The sequence below is a fragment of the Homo sapiens genome, chromosome 9 (genome assembly GCF_000001405.40).
Source record: "Homo sapiens chromosome 9, GRCh38.p14 Primary Assembly".
NCBI classification, from domain to species: domain Eukaryota; kingdom Metazoa; phylum Chordata; class Mammalia; order Primates; family Hominidae; genus Homo; species Homo sapiens.
In genome coordinates this window covers 119,239,679-119,260,019 of record NC_000009.12, presented here as the reverse complement: position 1 = coordinate 119,260,019, position 20,341 = coordinate 119,239,679, and the positions used below count along the sequence as shown (strand labels likewise).

General features: G+C 41.7%; 1 protein-coding gene across 1 annotated transcript in view; it reads left to right on the top strand.

Moving 5' to 3' along the window:
- The window catches only part of BRINP1 (BMP/retinoic acid inducible neural specific 1), a 202,807-nt gene that overhangs the window by 109,416 nt on the left and 73,050 nt on the right, over positions 1–20,341 (top strand). The window contains exons 3-4 of the mRNA NM_014618.3: positions 10,870–11,060; positions 17,804–17,973. Of these exons, the coding sequence (NP_055433.2) occupies positions 10,870–11,060; positions 17,804–17,973 (361 nt within the window). The remainder of the gene's footprint in view (positions 1–10,869; positions 11,061–17,803; positions 17,974–20,341) is intronic.

Here is a 20,341-nt window from a genome sequence, read left to right as displayed (position 1 = left end):
GTCTAGCTGAGAATGTGGATTTGGGGGAGGCTCTGAGATGGCAGCATGCTCACTAATCCTAAAATATCTTAACAAGAAAGAAATTGGCAATTAAATGCAGTATTACTTGCCGGGAAAAAAGTTGTTCATTTTTCTTCTTAAACAAAGCACTGTGGCAGAGGGAATTAAGCAGAGACCTGGTGTGCGAGACCTGGATTTTAAAACCAGCTCTTGTGCTGACAGCTGTGTGTCTTTGAGAGAATTATCTCCTCTTTCAGAGTCCCTGTGTTTCCATCTAAAATTTAAGTCAGTGACAAAGACACTCTTTGTGGTCCCTTGGAGCTTTCAAATTTTGTGATCTGAAAGGAAAAAATTCATATAATTGCAATGTTTAATGGGATTTATGATAATTGGAAAATAATTGCCATTCCAAACTTTTATTAATCTATATTTAGTTATGAGTCGCTCTTTCACAATAGATGCTTTGGAAATAAGCAAAGAGACAAATTGAGTCAACAGAATTTTCAATATTTTATTTATATGCAGTTTGTGTAATCCCTGGAGCCCATGGGCATATTAAGATCATTTAAACTATCCATTAAAAGTTATGTGTTATACAACAAACTCTCCTTTTAGAACGCCTTGCCGCAGGATACGTAGCTAACATTTATTGAGTAGCTACTACTGCCAGATTAATTGCATTCATTATGTTTAATCCTTCCAGCAATGCTGCAAGGTAAATACTAATATTCCTTTTGCACTGATAAAGAAGCTCAGAGATGCTGAGGGATTTGCAGATGTTCACTCGGCTAATGAGTGGCTTTATTGTAGGATTCAGAGCCAGACCAGGCCGACCGTAAAGTCTGTGCTCATCCCACAGTATCAGAATGTCTTTGTGAAAGGACCTGTTTTGCATCCTCTTTCCAGGTGCTCAATGGAATGAGCATTTGCTTTCCTTGATATCCTCTATTTTGTTTTTCTGTAGAGCATTGTGGAGACTCCTGGCAGGGTGGGTTGCCAGAGTCAATGACTTCCCCCATTCACATGGGGACACCAGAATGGGCAGAGGAGTAGAGAATAGGAAGAAACAAGGAAGATCCCAGACTAAGAATAACAGAACCTGAATTTCTGTCCCAGATCTGGTGCAGATTTTCCAAGTGGCCTTCACTGCTCTGGGCCTTGGTTTCCTCCACTTGTGATGGGGATGATCATACTCCCTATCTTCCAGGTTGTTGGGAGAATAATGTGTGGGGTGACAGAGATTTGTAAAGGACCAAGTGCATGACAGACCCCACAAAGTCAAGAAAATGGAATAAGACAGTGGGTCAGAGTAGAGAACACGGAATCTAAGGTGAGGAACTTATTTCCTAGTCCCTCTTGCCACCAATGGTGCTGTGGCCTTAGCAAGTCCCTCTCTCTCTATGGGCCTCAGTTTTCTCATCTGTGAAATGACAGTGATGGCCGTGAGTGCCTAAAGTCCCTCTATCCTGATATTTTGGATTCTGTATGGCAAGGCAGTGAGCAGTTCCAGTGCATGGAGTGTATCTCAGGAAACACTGGGCCCTTTGGGGTAAAATAAAACAAGTGCATTCTAAGCTTCCTTTCCCACGATTAACTCTCATAGCCACCATTATGGCCCCCTGCCCTCGATAACAGTGCTTCAGGAAGAATCCCACTTGCTTTTCTGGAAATGGCCCATTTATATAAAAGTTGGGCCATTCCAAGTGTGCTTGTTGTGTTTCTATTTTTCCCTCTCAAGTTTATGTGCAATGAGAAACACACATAGTCCCCTTCCAGTGTGCTCCCCTTAGGTTATTTACCCCCATTGCTCTGAATTCAGCCCCGTAAGAGCCTTCAGAACTGCTATGAGGCTGGCATAAGAGTAAAACTATCATTACTTAAGTGAACACCTTTGGCAAATAGACCTCTGTACACATTATAAGCAAGGAGTACTTTATTCTCTAAAGTTAAGTTGATATCTTTACTTGTAATTAAAATAATACTATTCATAATTACATTTTCAGAGATAGTTCTTTTTTTCTTCTTCTTTTTTTCTACTTTTCCTCACTTCACCCCTCTGGAGCCAAAATGCCCTGAGAGATCTGCCTGGATGTGGCTGTTTCTCAGCTGCCTTGCCAGTTGTGTTATGGGACATGAAGGCAGGCAGGGGATTTGGAGCTGACACCCTCTCGTTAAGATGCATCATTTCTGCTTCACATATGCCCTTGGGTTCACCTTTCTCTGAGCTGGCTGAGGATCGTGTGGGGAGCGAGTGGGAACAGCAGGCAAGAGAAATGCCTTCTTTCCTCTCTCAGCTCAATGATTTCATCTCACTCTTCTCCTCTGTGATTCCCCTTGTTCACCTCTGGGGATAATTTGCTGCTAACAATAGCAGAAGCTGTCCCAGAGTTTTCCTCTATCACCCCGATACTCAGAAGCTTCTCTTTATCCATTTCCAAATGATTAGTTAATGCGACCAATGGGATAAGCCACCCAGGAATAAACAAATGCAAACATCCCATCACTGTAATCAATCATGCTTTCAACAAACCTTTATTCGGGGTTCAATGTCATTATAGTATTCCAAAATGTATTCTTGGATTAAGCCAGACCGCCAGAAAGCTATATATTTAGACTGTAATATGTTTGCCCCTCATGGAGTTGCTTTATTGTTGCTTATTGTATGAATCGTGTATGAATAGTGCTTCATTATATGCATTAGGCTACCTTGAGCCCATCAAACTCACAGGAATATTGTTCAGAACATCTCCCACCAGCATCAACTCTATTGATCTCTTTATGAGAAACCATGGAAAATGTTTGTGTCTTATTGTAGCATTGAGGGAATCTATTTCTCAAATAACTTTGAACAACTACTCTGCTGTCTTTCTGACTGTATGGCTTTTGGCTATAATTCCCCTTTTTCCTTCAGCTGCAAGGAAGCTCAGAGACACTTGCAGTTCACTTGAATCAAGTGTTCAGGACTTTATAGAATTAACTTTACAAACTTCATTTTCTATTTTAACCCAAACTTCATTTTCTATTCTCCCTTTTATTTTTCCTATTTTATGTGTATTTTACGGCCTATAAGATGTGTATGTTTTTGAAAGTAACCTCCAACTACATCTGAGATCAGATTCATGTAAGCGAACAAGTCATAAAACATGCATGAGAAGAGTAAAAGAACCCTCCACTTATCAGAGGTCATTAGGAGCTTGATTATCTAAAAACAATGGAGGAAACACATTTATCCAGTGCGCCCTATAGACCCAAGACTGCTGGAAGCATTCCCCTTACAACTCTAAGATGCAGAAATTGTCACTGCCCCACCCCATTTTACAGATGAGGAAACTAAAATAGAACCTTTTAAGCAATAGAAACATCATAAGTGTGTCCTATACAAATAATTGTAAAACAAATGCTAATGCCAACAGCAGCTAACAATTGTTCATACCGTGTTGCACTGTATAAAGAAGTTGTCTAACTATTATTTCATCTAACTCTTCCAGCACAATTTGAGGAGGTGCATGCTTTTAGTCCTCATCACATATACGAAAAAATAGACTTGGATGGAGTTTATAAACTATTGCTTCATTTCTTAAATTTAGCCTTGCTACTTTCAGCTTACTTCACAAGAATCAGATCCCACCTTTCCCTAAAGTTTTATCTACTGGAATTTTAAAAGAGCATGATTGTGTCCTTTCCCTTCTCACTCCACCATCTATCCACTATCACCCAGCTTTCCAATGTAGCTGCTCATGTAATCATAACAACAATGATGATATTGATAATAACTTTAATATTTTATTGATGCTTTCATGGTTTAATATAATCCTAAGCCTGTCCTTGTAAGGTAGCTACCATTTACATTTTACAAAGTATAAACCAATAGGTGGTAGAACCATAACTCACAGTTTTACCCCTAGAGCCTAGGTTGAGGATACAGGGTTAAAGATGATCCAATTCAATCAGTTTATTTCACAGGTAGAGACACGGATATCCAGGAATGAATACACCGTCCCAAGAGCACAGAGCCAGTTCTCCTTCCTGTCTCGTGTTTTTTTTTTTTTTTTTTTTTTTTTTTTTGAGCTGGAGTCTTGCTCCGTTGCCCGGGCTGGCATGCAGTGGCTCGATCCCGGCTCACTGCAGCCTCCGCCTCCCGGGTTCAAGAGATTCTCCTGCCTCAGTCTCCTGAGTAGCTGGGACTACAGGCGCATGCTGCCACGCCTGGCTAATTTTTTGTATGTGTAGTAGAGATGGGGTTTCACTGTATTTCCCAGGCTGGTCTTGAACTCCTGAGCTCAGGCGATCTGCCCGCCTTGACCTCCCAAAGTACTGGGATTACAAGCGTGAGCCACTGCACCTGGCCTCTCCTTTCTGTCTCGTAATCATGTCTCCTTCTGTGCACTGTGTCATTGAGTGTACCTATGTGTATTTTTTTGCACGTATGAAGGAAAGTAGAGGACTAATAAAGAGGATGAAGGAGGATTCCTATACAGGCAATACTTTGCTCTAAAAAGAAAGATTCGGACTTATAATTTTCTCTCCAGCCTCATCTTAAATCCAGCACCCCTGGCTGCAGTCTTCATCCATCCCCAGGCCCTGTCATCATCTGCCCTCCCACCTCTGGCTCCCCCAGTGGGATGGCCCTTGCTGCAGACACCCCACGACTTCCATCCAGGATCTTACTTTAATCTCAGTCTAATTGGTTTGCCCACCCTGCTGGGATGCTTAATTGGGCATAAGCATATTCCACAGATCCTATGCCATTGTGAGTTCTGCCTTCTCCTCCAAGGGGAATTTGCTTGTTCTGTGCACTCAGAAGGAAAGATATATTTTATGTTGTGCTCAATTCCCTGAGAACTGACATGAAATTGTTCCCGGGCCAGCAGAGCAGTTAGACAACATGGCAAGCAAGGCTTGCTTTCTTTTATGTATTTTCTTTTACATTATTTTTTTTAAGGTGGCATGTTGCAATGGAAAGGGTATTGCACTTGAAGTCATGAGCCTTGGGCTCTGATTTAATCCTTCCTGATCGTTTGCTGTGTGATCTTGATCAAATAACTCAATCTTTTTGACATTCAATTTTCCCATCAGTGGATGGTATTAGTTGGATTTGATGACTTCTATGAATGGAGTTAGAGTGAAGCTTTTAGGACATATTTCCCATAGGCCAAATATATTTGGGCACTTGCTTTTGTAAATAAAGTTTTATTGGAGCACATCCACACTCAGTTGTATTGTCTATGACTGTTTCCCTGTACAAGGACACAGTTGAGTGGTTGCAACAGGTACCTGTGGCTGAAAAATCTAAAATATTTACTACCTGGACCTTTATAGAAAATGTTTGCCTACCCTTCCTTTATAACGTAAATCAGATTAGGTAGACTCAACACCTTCTTTTGACTTTTCTTGTTACTTAGAATTTTTAAAAAAGTTTTACTAAGGCTGACAAAGCCTTTTGAGGTCTATGTTCCTCCACTTCATCTTTTGATATTATTTTTCTTCCCATATCACCCCTCTACTCATTTAGGCTGCCCTTTGATGTTTCCCAAATGTGTCAAACACATTTCCACCCCAGGACCTTTGCATTTGCTGTTATTTTTTTCCGGGAACATTATTTCACCAGGTGGCCCTATGGTCCCTCCCTCATTTCCTTCAGGTGTCTCCTCAAATGTCATGAAATCACAAAGGCCTTTTCTGATGACCTATATGAAATGACAGCTTTACCCCCTTCTGGACATCGCAGCCTCCTCCCCGTGATTTATTTGTCTTTATAACACTTATCTCCCCTGACACATTACATATTTGTTTCTTTGTTATCTGTCCACTGTCACCAGCATGTATGCCCCTTGAGAGCAAGACTTTCATTAATTTTGTTTACTGTGGTATCTTTAGAGCTGGAAAAATAGTAGGTGCTCAAATTTCGAATATGTAATCAACCTTTTTGTCTCTAATGTTGTTTAAATCTAGCTCTGAATAGATCTGGGTGCTATTGAGCCCTTTTACTTAAGTGTACTTTGGTAAAGAGTGTAAAAATCACAGAATCCTGTGATTATTACAGTCTTTGCTCCAACATCCCTGTAATGGTTGCAGAGCCACATAAACCTATCTTCAAAATGCTTTTAGCCTGGATTGTTGGCCAGTGAGAACAGAGTTTATAGACTGTAATCTACTATCATAGTTTGACACATAGTCATTCATCCTGTGGTCCTTGACAACCTCTCTGCCTTTAGCTCTTATCATTTATGTATTACAGGTACACACAGACACACACATCCCTTTCTTTCTACCTGTCCTATCCCCTCTCTTTCACCTCCATTTTTGCACATGGAGCTCATTGTTCTTTTTGTTCTTTACCATTTTTAAGTGTTCAATTCCATGGTAATAAATGCATTTATATGTTTTATTTTTCCCTTCGTTCCTCCCCAACTATCCTTCCCAGCCTCTGGGAACCATCATTTCACTCTCTATCTTCACGAGGTCCATTTTTCATCTCCCACAAATGAATGGGATGTGTGATATTTGTCTTTCTGTGCTTGGACTATTTCACTTAACAAAATGGCCTCCAATTCCTTCCATCCTGCTGCAAATGACAGGATTTCATTCCCTTTTATGGCTGAATGATATTCCATTGAGTATGTATACATATTTTCTTTATCCATTCATCCATTGATTGGCACTTAGTTTGATTGCACATTTTTCGTATTGTAAATAGTGCTGTGATAAGACATGGTCCTATCTCTTTAATATGTATTTCCATTCTTTTGGGTATATGCCTAGTAGTGGCATTGCTGAATCATATGGTAGTCCTATTTTTAGTTTTTTGAGGAACCTCCATATTGTACATTATAGTTTAATACCTTCCCTAAACAACCATTTGTCCTCCTTCCCCCAGTGGACCAATTCCTTGGGATAAAAAACTCTGTCCGTGGTGCTGAGCAGGTAGTTAGTTCTTTAGGGTAACATCCCCAGTTACTGAGTTCTCCCCAAGTACCTGACTCTGTGCTCAGCAGGTCGCATACATTTCCTCACTTAGGCCTTACATCCACCCTGTGAGGGATAAACTGGGTACCTGGCATAGGCATCTTTCTGAGTTTCTTTTCAAGGAAGCAACACAGATGGCAGGCCCTGGTCTATCGCTGGTGAACGTCAAAGACTGTGATGGCTGTTTCAAAAAAAGGAATTGAGTCATGCCTTGTAATTTGGTGGTGGGGGTGGCATCATTCTTCTGTACTGGTACTGGTTCTACTATGCTTTTATATTCTACCTCTCGATATTTACATTAAAAGAGTGATTTAAGAGTCAGGGTGCCAGTTTTCTATACTCAATTCTACCACTCATTAGCTACATGACCTTTAACAGTTACTTAACCTCTCTGTGTGAAATAAATATTAATTTTAAGGAATACGGGTGTGTTCATATGAAAAAAGCAACCCAAGACAGTAAGTTATGAATAAAAGTGATACACACACACACACACACACGTATGACTATATATATTTTTCTATATACTGATATATCAGTATGTTTATATGCATATATATATATAACCTCATAATTATATGTATATATAATTTTATAAATTTCTTGGATTAGCTGATAAGGAAATACTCTTTTCCTCAGAGATATTTGGCATTTCTCATTGCTGTGTATTGATCAATTACCTCACAATTCAGTGACTTAAAACAATATTATCTCACAGTTTCTGTGAGTCAGGAATCTGGACGCCCTGTCTCTGGGTTTGTTACCAGGCTGCAGTCATCTCAAGGCTAGCTTGGGAAGGGTCTGTTTCCTAGCTTAAGCCCATGGTTACTGCCAGGATTCAGTTCCTTGCAAGGCCTCATTTCCTCGGAAGCTGTTGGCCTAAGGATTCCCTCGGCTCCTTGCCATGTGGATGTCTCCATAGAGCATCTCACAGCATGGCAGCGAGTGAGAGGGAGGGAGGAAGAAAAGATGGACACAGAGACAGAGAGAGCGGGAAAGCCAATGCAAGAAACAGAGAGGGAACAGAGAGCCAGTGGGTGAAGCAGAAAAAGAGACAGAGACAGAGAAAGACATAGAGGGACTTAGAGAACCAGAGACACACAGAGAGAGAACACACACCAAATAGACATCGAAGAATTTTGTAACTGAAACGTGAAAGTGACACTCCATCACTTTCATATTCTATTAATTAGAAACGAGTCCCTGGGCCCGAGGTCATTAGGACTCAAGCCGCAAGCTGCCTGCCACACCTGTAACATTTGTCTCAGCTGGCTGTCAAGGTCTTTCCCCCATGCCCACATCCCATCAACTACTTGTTCCATCTTGTTGCCTCCCACACCCTCTTTTTCATGCTCCCCCCTATTTTATTCTGCCCTTCTCAATGTTTTCTGTATCCCTGCTCACTGTTCCTGACTTTTCCTCCCCATGGTTAGTTTTTTTGTTGTTTTTGTGTTTATTTGTTTCTCTTTTACTTTTAGAGACAAGGTCTCACTATGTTGTCCAGGCTGGATTTGAACTCCTGAGTTCAAGTGATCCTCCTGCCTTGGCCACCTGAGTGGCTGGGGCTACAGGCGTGCACCACCATTCTGGCTGTTTTTGTTTTTAACCACACTTCGTTGATCTAAATTCCATGCAAACTTAAAAACTATAGTTCAAACATGACCTCCTCTCTGAAGCTTTCCCTAGAGGCCCGAAAAGTTCAGGTTCCTCCTCCTGTGTCCTGTAGTCCTTGATTTATAATAAACTGAAAAGTCTTCCAGACTGTGAGCTTCTTAAGGACAGGGACTGTGACATGTGCATTCCCCTTCCGTGGACATCATATGTTGCCCTTAGTAGGTGTCTTGAAGGGTTCACTGAGTGCAGTTGATTGACTTAAGTACCTGCAACAACATGCAAGGTACTCAGTGGACTTCAAATTTGAACTATGTCTTGAATTATGGACAGAGATTTCTTACTCAGACACAGACCATGATCTCTGAATCTTGGAAACATATTCTAATGTGAAAGCTTTTCTCAGACCCAGTTTTCTGTGAATCAGGGGTCAGACACCACCACTAAATTACCAGGGCACATTCCGGCCAGATACCCCCACTGTTCTGCTGCTTCTTTGCCCTGTGTCCCTTTCCTCATTCGTCTCTCCCATCCTGTGGCAGGAGAGAGAGACCTTTTCATTAAACTCTGGTTCCCATCATTTATCTCAGCTGACCTTACAGCCCTCTTGTCTAGTCTGTTTTCCTCAAGGGACCGAGAGCATGTAACTCAGGCAGGTCGGAGAGCTGGTCATTCTGGGGGAGCTGCATCTTTGGTGGGAACTGTGATTGTTACTGAGCAAAAGCAACCTTCACTCAGTCCCTCTAAGTTTTCACTTGTACTCGGTTTGTATGCTCCAAGTTTACTGTATGTGAACTTTTAATGATTTACATGTACATGTCTGGGAACTTGTGAGAAAATAAAGTTATAAAACAATAATTCACATTAAATTAGCACCTTGCAGTTTCCAAAGGTATTTTGCACTCTATGTTTCATGTAATTCCTGCATCAGCAGTAGCAAATAGATAATTGAATTTTATAGATGAAGAAATGTAGGTCTAGAGAGGGGACAAGATCACAACACATAATTTGTAAGAGGGAGAGCGAGACTTGGACTTCCAAATTTGGTGTCGTTTGGTTGTGAGATCCTCTGTTATTAGTGAAGGCAAACATGGAAATTCTCCCACATGGTCTTTGGAACATAGCTTAATTGCTTTAAAATACTAGGTGCTCAATGAATACATGTTAACATTTTGGATTAAAGTGAGCTCTGGGCTCAATATTTGATTTCTGGATTATCCTAGAACAGTCCTCAGGTTGCTTTGTGCCTTAGGTCCTGTCTACTATTATATATCCTCCTTCTCACCCTCCCTCCCTCCTTCCCTCCCTCCCTCCCTCCTTCCCTCCCTCCCTCCTTCCTTTTCTTCCTTCCTTCCTTCCTTTCTTCCTTCCTTCCTTCTTCCCTCCCTCCCTCTCTCTCTCCTTCCTTCCTTCCCTCCTTCCCTCCCTCCCTTTCTCTCTCCCTCTCTCCCTTCCTTCCTTCCTTCTTCCCTCCCTCCCTCTCTCTCTCCTTCCTTCCTTCCCTTTCTCTCTCCCTCTCTCCCTTCATCCGGTCCCTCCCTCTCTCCCTCCCTTCCTTCCTCCCTTCCCTCCCTCCCTCCCTCCCTCCCTTCCTTCCTTCCTTCCTTCCTTCCTTCCTTCCTTCCTTCCTTCCTTCCATTTGTTTATTTCTCTGTCTGGCATTATCATGAATCCTGCCATGTAACAGGCACTGAGCTATATACAGGGCTGGGTTAGGGAGTGCCTAAGAAGATTCTATTCTTGTGGTGTCATTTACAGTCTAGCAAGAGAGATGGACAGACAACTAGAAGACAATGGAGGACTTGGTCCTGTGACAGGTATCAGAAATGGATAATAATCCCCTGGCACAGGGCTAGTGTGATCATTATATAAGAACTTAGACATGATATTCTTGGAAACTATAAAATACCATGAAAATTTTCATCAGTACATTATCATCATCCATATTATCATCAGATTATTATTTGTATTACTCTTTCTTTTTCCTCAGTCCCTCTACCCAACCCCTAATAAAAGTAACTCCTGATATTTGTCTCCCTGGTGCTCTGTAAACAACTTGAGGACAATGATATTGTTTATCTAGTTCAATATTCCTGTGATGAGAATAGTACTCTATAAATATTTGTTGGTTGCAGATGATTGGAAGCTCCAGATCAAAGCATCACTTGACACATATTAAAATTGTAGGCACTTTCCCACTTAAGGAGAGATGCCTGGATGGATGGTTGGGTGGACTTTGGCTTAAGGGTAATGGTGGTAAGTTGAGAAGTGTTGCTCATTTCTCCTGCCCAGGGAGTTTGCCCGTTGGAAGGTGAGGAACACAGCCATCGAGAGGAGAGATCTGGTCCGCCATCCAGTGCCCCTCATGCCGGAGTTTCAAAGGAGCATCCGCCTGCTTGGCAGGAGACCTACCACTCAGCAGTTCATCGATACCATCATCAAAAAGTACGGCACCCACCTGCTCATCTCAGCCACATTGGGAGGTAGGTCAGCAGCCACTGGGCCAGAGCCTTCTCATGACTTTGGGTTTGGGATGGGAAGGGAGAGTGGGATGTCTTAACAGCAAAGCCTTCTTAGCTTCTCTGCCATTCTACATCACACAAAAGCATTTATAGCCAGGTAAGCCAAATTGTCTTGGCTGTTGTGATCATATCCGAGGAGGTGATTCAGTTCTATGGGACAGTCTAATTTGAGAGTTTACTAAATTTTCTGAAAATACGGCTTAACCTTGGAATTGGCTCCATTTGTTAGAAATGCCTAATCTGATCATTTTCTCAGTTCCTTTGGTCTAATCTGGGAAAATAATTAAATTTCAGATATTGTTTAGGGAATATGCTTTGTTTATTTAAGTCTACTTTAGAGACTGATAAATCGAGGTTATCCTTTTACAAACAGGCTATCATTTGTAACTCCTGTGGGCTTAGAGTAGGTTAATGGGAAAGCAGATTAATTGTTCCACCCTGCTCAGCCTTACCCATCCCTCCCCATCAGGGCCAGTCAGTTTTTGAGTGATCAAGGGTAAGAGGGCTGGATAAAGGAGAGGAAATAAATGCAAAGACAATGAATGGAAAATAGTGCAGACTAGTGCCTTTAGATGCTTGTGGATCTTGCCTGAATGCATCATTTAATATTAGGAGCAATCCCTTAGGCACCAGTTTTGCCACAGTGACTGGATTCACTGAACTTTGAGGAAGCCCCTTTAGTGATAGAGCGCTGTGCCACATACTCACAAAGTCGCCGGCTGCATTTAGGTATGGCCCATGCCCACTAGGAGAGATTGGCATATTGATACAGGAAGGGTGGACTGAGGTGTAATTATAACAGGGGATCTTCTCCTTCAGAGACATGTTGAGCACTACCAACTGGAGTGGTCAGTACAGACTTCCTGGAGGAAGTGACAGTTTTGTTCACCAGGAGCTGGTTAAGTAAAGGGAGGTGGCAGAGCTTTCTAGGCTCAGCATGCAATGTAGGAAGACCCGATTCATAATGTGGGGAATGTGGTGGAGAGATTGGTTAGGCAAATTTATTCATTCCTACAATAATATTATCCACTACTTAACAGTTATTTGCTATATAGCAGACATTGTACATTGTCTTTAGTCCTCAAAACTGCACATGTCATATTACCTCCATTTTATAAATAAGGAAGCTGAGACCCAGAAGAAGTACAGCTAGTAAGTGATAAAGCTAAGTTTTTAAGTGAGTGTTTTCCATGCACAAAGCCTGCATTCTGTTTTTGATCCAATGTCAGTCATCTCTTTTTTTTTTTTTTTTTTTTTTTTTTTGAGACGGAGTCTCGCTCTGTCGCCTAGGATGGAGTGCAGTAGTGGCGCGATCTCGGCTCACTGCAAGCTCCGCCTCCCGGGTTCACGCCATTCTCCTGCCTCAGCCCGCCGAGCAGCTGGGACTACAGGCGCCCACCACCATGCCCGGCTAATTTTTTATATTTTTTTTTAGTAGAGACGGGGTTTCACCGTGTTGACAGGATGGTCTTGATCTCCTGACCTCGTGATCCGCCCGTCTTGGCCTCCCAGAGTGTTGGGATTACAGGTGTGAGCCACCGTGCCTGGCTGTCAGTCATCTCTTTAACCAACTCACTTCCCCACCAACCCAATACCCGCTCCACCAACCAACCAACCAGCATGTGTTAGCTGTCTGTTGCCAGTTAGATATTAAGTTAAGTAGGACTTTGAATATGAAATCATTAGTGTAAATTCTATTCTGTTGTAAAGTGAAAATGAATTCATTTCTACATTAAGTGTAGCATTAACCTAAACTCTTTTCTTTGGACATCACCCCCTCCATTTCACTTGGGGGTAAAAAAGGCATTGAGACCAATTCAATTCTTCCATTAAAAGCTGTGCTCTTGTCTGAGTTCCTGGAAACCCCAAGTAACCAAGACCTTTCTTCCTCAATGAAATATATTTTTAATTTCTCTAAGGCAAGGTGGTGAATTATTCACAGAGCCTTGTTCCTCTCCTATTTTTACAACACAACATTTTAAAATATGCAAAGCTTTGGATTGAGATCTGGTGTTGGACAGTAGGCCCTAAATGTTCCCTCAGCCCTCAGTGTGGAGGAGTAGAGAGAAGGAAGGCAAAGAGATTTATTGTTGATTGAACACTATGTGCCATAAATGATGCAAAGCTCTTCTTACATCATCACTTCATTCATTCACTTATGGAAAACATGTTTTTTAAGAGCCTCCTCTGCAGTATGAGAGAAGGGAGGTGGGAAGTTGTAGGGAATGAAAGAGCAGGCTCTAGAGTTTGATCACCTGGCTTCTAGTCCTGCCTCCGGCTGTTCACCAGCTTAGTGTTACTGTATTAGTCAGGGTTCTCTACAGTGACGGAACTAATAGGATAGATGTATATATAAAGGGGATTTTATTCAGGAATATTGACTCACACGATCACAAGGTCCCATAATAGGTCATCTGCAAGCTGAGGAGCAAGGAAGCAAGTCCGAGTCCCAAAGCTGAAGAACTTGGAGTCCGATGTTCAAGGAGAGGAAACATCCAGCAGGGGAAAAAGATGTAGCCTGGGAGGCTAAGCCAGTCTAGTCTTTTCACATTCTGCCTGCTTTCGTTCTAGCCACGGTGGCAGCTGATTAGATTGTACCCACACAGATGATGGGTGGGTCTGCCTTTCCCAGTCCACTGACTCAAATGTTAATCTCCTTTGGCAACACCCTCACAGACACACCCAGGAACAATACTTTGCATCCTTCAATCCAATGAAGTTGACACTCAGTATTAACCATCACAGTCACCTTGGCAAGTAACTCAATCCTCTAAGCCTCAGTTTCCTCTTTCCTAAATAGTTACAATAGTAGTCCTTCATGCATATTGCAAAAATTAAATAAAATCATCTATTGAAAGTGCTTAGCACACTGTCTGACACTTAACAAATTGTTGCTATGTTACTACTCTTGTTCTTACTATTATTGTTGTTACTTAATGGGGCTAAGAAACTTGGGAATCCAGATTAAGGCCCAATTCTGCTACTCACTAGATGAGTGGGAGACACTGAGAAACTCACTTTTCTGTCTGAATATAAATTTCTTTATCTATAAAGAAGGAGGTGCAAATAATTTTATTCACTGTAATTTTTTTCTAAGACCACTGTGTTCATTGAGAAAAAATGCTTTGATAAACTCTTCGACATGTCAGGTAAGTTCACAAGGGGATAATCAAATACTAAAAGATGCTTCTTAACCTGTCACCTATGAGACAAATAAATGTGTTTGTTTCACTCTTTAGGAAGAGGAAAGAGGAAGGGAAGGCTATGGGAATGGAGAAGCAGAGGTGATGGGAGGGCCAACAAATAAGAGATTTCCATGGGATCTCCAGATTTTTGGTGAAATCTATTAAACTAATAAAATACATCATGTGAATACTCCTATGAAGGGGGGTGAAGGGAAAAACACACAAGAAAACAGGCATAGAAATTTTCCTTAGTCCCCCTGATGACCATATCTTGGGGCTGCAGGAACCACCTTGGAGACTGGGTGCCTGTGTGACACGTGTGGTTAAGCTTGGATGTATGACTATGCGTGCATGGAAGTACATCTGTGTAAACAGATGTGCACAAATGCCTACCTGTATAGACAGATGTTCACAAAGCCTATTCCTGCTTAGATATGAGTTAATTTATACATGAGCATGTATTCATGCACATTGCACACACGTGTACACATCATTCACATATATATGGTTGCAACATGTATATGTGTGTGTGTGTGTGTGTATGTGAGCTTGCACATGCATATGAGCGTTTGTATTGCATGGATGTCTTTTTATACATGAGGGCTCATCTTTTTTGTTTATTTGTATATTCACTATTTCCCTCCCTGCATTTTGGGAGAAGTCCCCTTGACTAAGAGGAAGGCTGAGAATAAAATCCCAGGGGCTCAGAAGGAAAGGAAGAGTTATGTCCCAGAGGGCTAAAGTCCAGACACCTCATCTCCTATCTGGGAGCAAAATCTCCTATTGACTCAAAAAGTAATAGGATCAGCTTCCACTCTTCCTCATTCCCTTTGAGAGTCCCCTTTTCTTCACCTCTGAAACAAGGTGCTGCAGTGAGGTGAAGTCTCCTGGAGAACAGAAAGACTCAGAAAAGGCCTATGTGGGGCGAAGAGGCAATTTGCAGGAATGCCCAAGGGGGAAAGCAATTCTAAACAGAACATTCTCTTAATAAACAAGAAATTAAGCCTTAATAATGCAGCAAGAAGCCCATTAACCCCTCTTGATCTAAAGGTTTGCTTCTGCCAGTTCTCAGTCCAGAGGGAACCGGGCTTGTTTCACCTTCTCCTTCACAGGCCCCTAAGAGAGCCTGAGCTGACACATGGAACATTTATTTCCTCTGCCTCATGGCTCAAACTCTTAGCATATTCACTTGTTTAACTTTTACCTTTCCACTCAGCTGTCTGTTCATCTATACACCCATCCACTCATCTATCTATCTATCTACTTATCCATCAACTGATAACTGAACATCTATTCTTCATCAGACCCTAGGATAAGCATTGGAACATTAGAAAGGTGAATTGGATGGAGTCCTTGTTCCCCTGCTCCACTTCCCATGGCCCCCAGAACTCAAAGTCTAATTGGATATAGCATCAGTTTTAAGCCAAATCTATTCAGGTTGCTGTGGGGGCCAAAGGATAGACAATCATGTATTACTACGTAACAGTAAAGCTTCTAGGAAAACTGCAAACGCCAAGTGCTTTACCATGAACTCAACTCAAGCCTTGGCCTGTAAAACCTGAGAGTTATTAATCTAGTTCAGGTAAGGAGTGAAGGACTAAGGGAAGGCATCCCAGAAGTGCTGTCTTAGGTGATACCTGAAGGATGACTATAAGTTAGCCGGGAGAAAAACAGAAAAATAGAAGTCCTAACGACGAGGGAAAATGGGGCACATTTGTACAGGGTAGAGCAAACACAGAGAGCAGCAAAAGTTATAGCTGGAGTGCCCAGATCATCCAGGCCTTGTGGTCCACATTATCTACAGGATGCAGGTGCCCACTCTTTCTCTGGTCTGCGTTGCATTCTGTGCACTCCCTTACCTTGGCTATTCACCTGGTATATTAAAATGATCTCCTATGACTCTGTATCCCTAGACCAGCACTAGCCAATAGATATATGATGTCACCCCAAGTGTGAGTCACATAAGCTCCTTTTAAATTTTCTTGCAGCTACACTGAAAAAGACAAAAAGGAGAAATCAATTGAGAAAAAAAGGACAAATCAATTGAACAAACGTTTTTACACTGTTGGTGGGAACGTAAATTAGTTCAACCATTGTAGAAGAGAGTGTGGTGATTCCTCAAAGATCTAGAACCAGAAATACCATTTGTCCCAGCAATCCCATTACTGAGTATGTATCAAAAGGAATATAAATCATTCTATTACAAAGATACATGCACACATATGTTCATTGCAGCACTATTCACAATAGCAAAGACATAGAATCAACTCAAATGCCTATCAATGATAGACTGGATAAAGAAAATGTGGTACATATACACCATGGAATACTATGCAGCCCGAAAAAAGAATGAGATCATATCCTTTGCAGGGACATGTATGGAGCTGGAAGCCATTATCCTCACCAAACTAAGGCAGGAACAGAGAACCAAACACCACATGTTCTCACTTAGAGCTGAATGATGAGAACACATGGACACAGGGAGGGCAACAACACACACTGGGTCCTGTCAGAGGGGTAGGGTGGGGGAGCGTTAGGAAAAATAGCTAATGCATGCTGGGTTTAATACTTAGGTGATGGGTTTATAGGTGCAGCAAACCACCATGGCATACGTTTGTTTACCTATGTAACAAAACTGCACATCCTGCACATGTACCCCAGAACTTAAAAAAAAATTTGCACCAGTTTGTGATAATGTAGCTTCAGGTTTTCAACTGTTTACCAAATAAAGCTTCTTAGAATGAAAAAAAAAAAAAGAAAAAAGAAACATGCCCTTGTTCACATAGTTGATAGAGAATAGAGGCAGCTCCCTGGAGCTTCCTTTCTGGAGTTCTGGAGAAACAGTTCTTTACCCAAATTAAAAGTCATCATAGTTAGCAGTGTTACTGATCTATGTGTGCATGTCTAAGAAAAACTTAAAAGAAGAAAATGTATAAATTTTTATATTTGCATCTAAATTTATTTAAACATGTCTATCATTCATCCATTTGCTTCCATCCAAATATCTCTTTCTAGCTATCCACCGTTCATTTATCTATTAAGAAAAGATCAGGGGGAGGGGAAAGAGAAAAAGGAAAGGAGAAAGAAATGAAGGGGAGATGGGAGAGTAGAGGAAAAGGAGGAACTGCATGATAATGAGGAGACAAAGGAGGAGGAGAAAAGAATGAGAAGAGAATGTCTATGCCACATTTGCCATTGTATAGAAGAGACTGAACTTTCTTGGAAGAGGGGAAGAGGGTTTTGTTATAAGATGATGCTGGTGAGAAGCATGAAGTCAATTATTAGGGGCTGGACTTTATTGTTGGGGGTTTTTTAATGATCCTTGTCCTAATGAAGCCTGGTGTTTACAGCCACCTCTAGACAGTTTATTTTCATTGTGCCTTTGATTTTTAGAGGCAGAAGGAAACATGGGCCACATTGGTTGGAGATTTAAGGCTGTTTTCAGCATCCAGGTCCCATCCCTGTCCTCTCACATGAAAGCTCCACAAACCTTCTTATCTACTTTTCTTTCCCATCCAGGGGAGGAGGCTTTGACCATGTATATGGACAAAAGTCGCCTCGACAGGAAGTCAGGGAATGCCACTCAAAGTGTTGAAGCTCTGCACCAGCTCGCATCATCCTACTTTGTTGACCGTGATGGTACCATGAGGAGGCTTCATGAGATCCAGATATCAACTGGAGCAATCAAGGTACAGCTCCGGGGTGGATTTGGGCGACAGGTTCTCAATACAACAACACTGCAATGCAGGCATTCTGAGAGTGGATGGACAGATGTAATTTCTGGGTTCATAACCATGTAGCTCGTGATGCCCTCTGCCAGCTGCTTTGACTGATATTGTCACATACCCTGTAATTAATATCAATGTGCACTGTCATTCCAGTGGCCATATGTACTGATTTGCTAGAGTATTCTGGCTGTAGTCATGGCATAACTATCAACAGTTCTCTCATTCAGTCTTCTGTATGGAGATTATCAGATCCCCTTTCTAGAGAAGAAACAGAGACTATGAAGAGGTAAATGATTTTCCCGAGGTCTCAGAGATAGCAGCGATTAGATTACTGATGCCTAGCTCAGTAATATTTTAAACATCTATGTTTTTTATTCTTTCCTCCCCACTCACCATTTTAAAGATGGGAAAACTGAGGCTAAAGGTTTAAAGCCTTTTTCTGAGGGTTATACAGTTAGAGAATAACTTAACAGGGACTAGAACTCTGCTCTCAAGACCAGCAGTCAGCAAAAGTTTTCTGTACAAGACCAAACAATAATTATTTTAGGCATGGTGGGCTGTATGGCCTGTGTTGCTATTACTCAACCCTGCTGTTGTAGCATAAAAGCAGCCATAGATGATATAAAAACAAATGGGCATGGCTGTATTCCAATATGACTATATTTACCAAAACAGGCACTCTGTGGTTTGCTGATCTAGGCTCGCCTACACCAGCACCGTCCAGTAGTACCTTCTAAGATGGTGGAAAGGCCCTGTATCTGTGCTAGCCGAGATAGTAGCCACTAGTCACCTGGGGTTATTGAACACCTAAAATATGGCTACCAAGGAGCTCATTGTTTAAGTTTATTCCATTTTAGCTAATTAAAAATTAAATGGTCACATTGAGAAAAGCAGCCCTGGACTTTCAATTCAGTGCTTAGAGCACAGGAACTTTAACAAGATTCCATTTTAAACACAACAAATTCAGACAGCCTCTATAAAGCGAATGTGGGAGGACATCCTCGACATAAAATGTTTGCTCTTCTGAGGGTTTTAGTGCAGATGTTTCCATCTCAAATGTTCTTTAACCAGATTATGCCTGCATTTTACATCTCAGTCTTTACTCTAATTTCTTCTAAAGAAAATGCAGACCTAGCCTTATATTAAGACTTTCCAAGATATCTATAGGGAAAAACGGTGAGGATAAGGCCAAGGGGTCTTACCCTGCCAAGGCTGGCAGATGAGTCAGAAATTGACTAAGGAGAGAGAAAAGTGTGGGAGGGAGAGAGTTACTGAGCAGGGAGGTAGTAAGGAGAGAAATAAATCAGACCAACAAACAAAGGGCCAGTTTATCCGAAAAGAATCGCCTGTATTTGGGAGATTATGTTGTTAGGGAACTCAGCACAGAGAGATGGATCTTTATGAAGCCATCGGAGTCAGAGTGCTGCAGAGGCCTGGTTTTCATTATCACCAAATGGTTCTCTCCTCGCTGGATGGGATGTGGAATTGAGATATTGAAGCTCTGTCAGAAGATAATCCTCCTTCGTGTATCCTAGAAGTGCAGTCTGCCTCCATAGGAGGAATTTCTCAGAGAAATTGCAGAGGCCACTCAAGAAACCATTTCTTATGGTAGGCACTGTCTTCTGCACTTAATTTGGCCCTTGGATTTTTCATGCCATTTCTTGCCACTACCTCAAGACCAAGCTGTCTAAAACTTGTCTCACTATTGGGTCTGTTTTTGTTGTTGTTGTTGTCTTTTTGAGATGGAGACTCGCTCTGTTACCCAGGCTGGAGTGCAATGGCATGATCTTGGCTCACTGCAACCTCCAGTTCCCGGTTTCAAGCGATTCTCCTGCCTCAGCCTCCCAAGTAGCTGGGACTACAGGTGCGCGCCACCATGCCCAGCTAATTTTTGTATTTTTAGTAGAGATAGGGTTTCACCATGTTGGCCAGGATGGTCTCAATCTCTTGACCTTGTAATCCACCCACCTCAGCCTCCCAAAGTGCTGGGATTACAGTCATGAACCACTGCAGCTGGCCTGGGTCTGTTTAAGACCAGCCACTAACCCGGGCGGAGAAGTTTTGCCCATTCACCATTCTCCCCAGCAGAGGTATCTTTAGGAAAGTAAATTGGTAAGTTTTACTCTCTCTCAATAATAAATATGTTATTATTTTTATATAAAAATAAATTATTTGTAAAACAAAACGAAAAATACAAAACCTAATTATTCCCCATTTACTAAATATGACTGCACCCGAAGTGCTAAACCCTTCAAAAATATAATCTCTTGACCCTATTTTGGTGACTAATAGCATTACTAACATTTTATAGATGGGGAAGTTGAGGCTT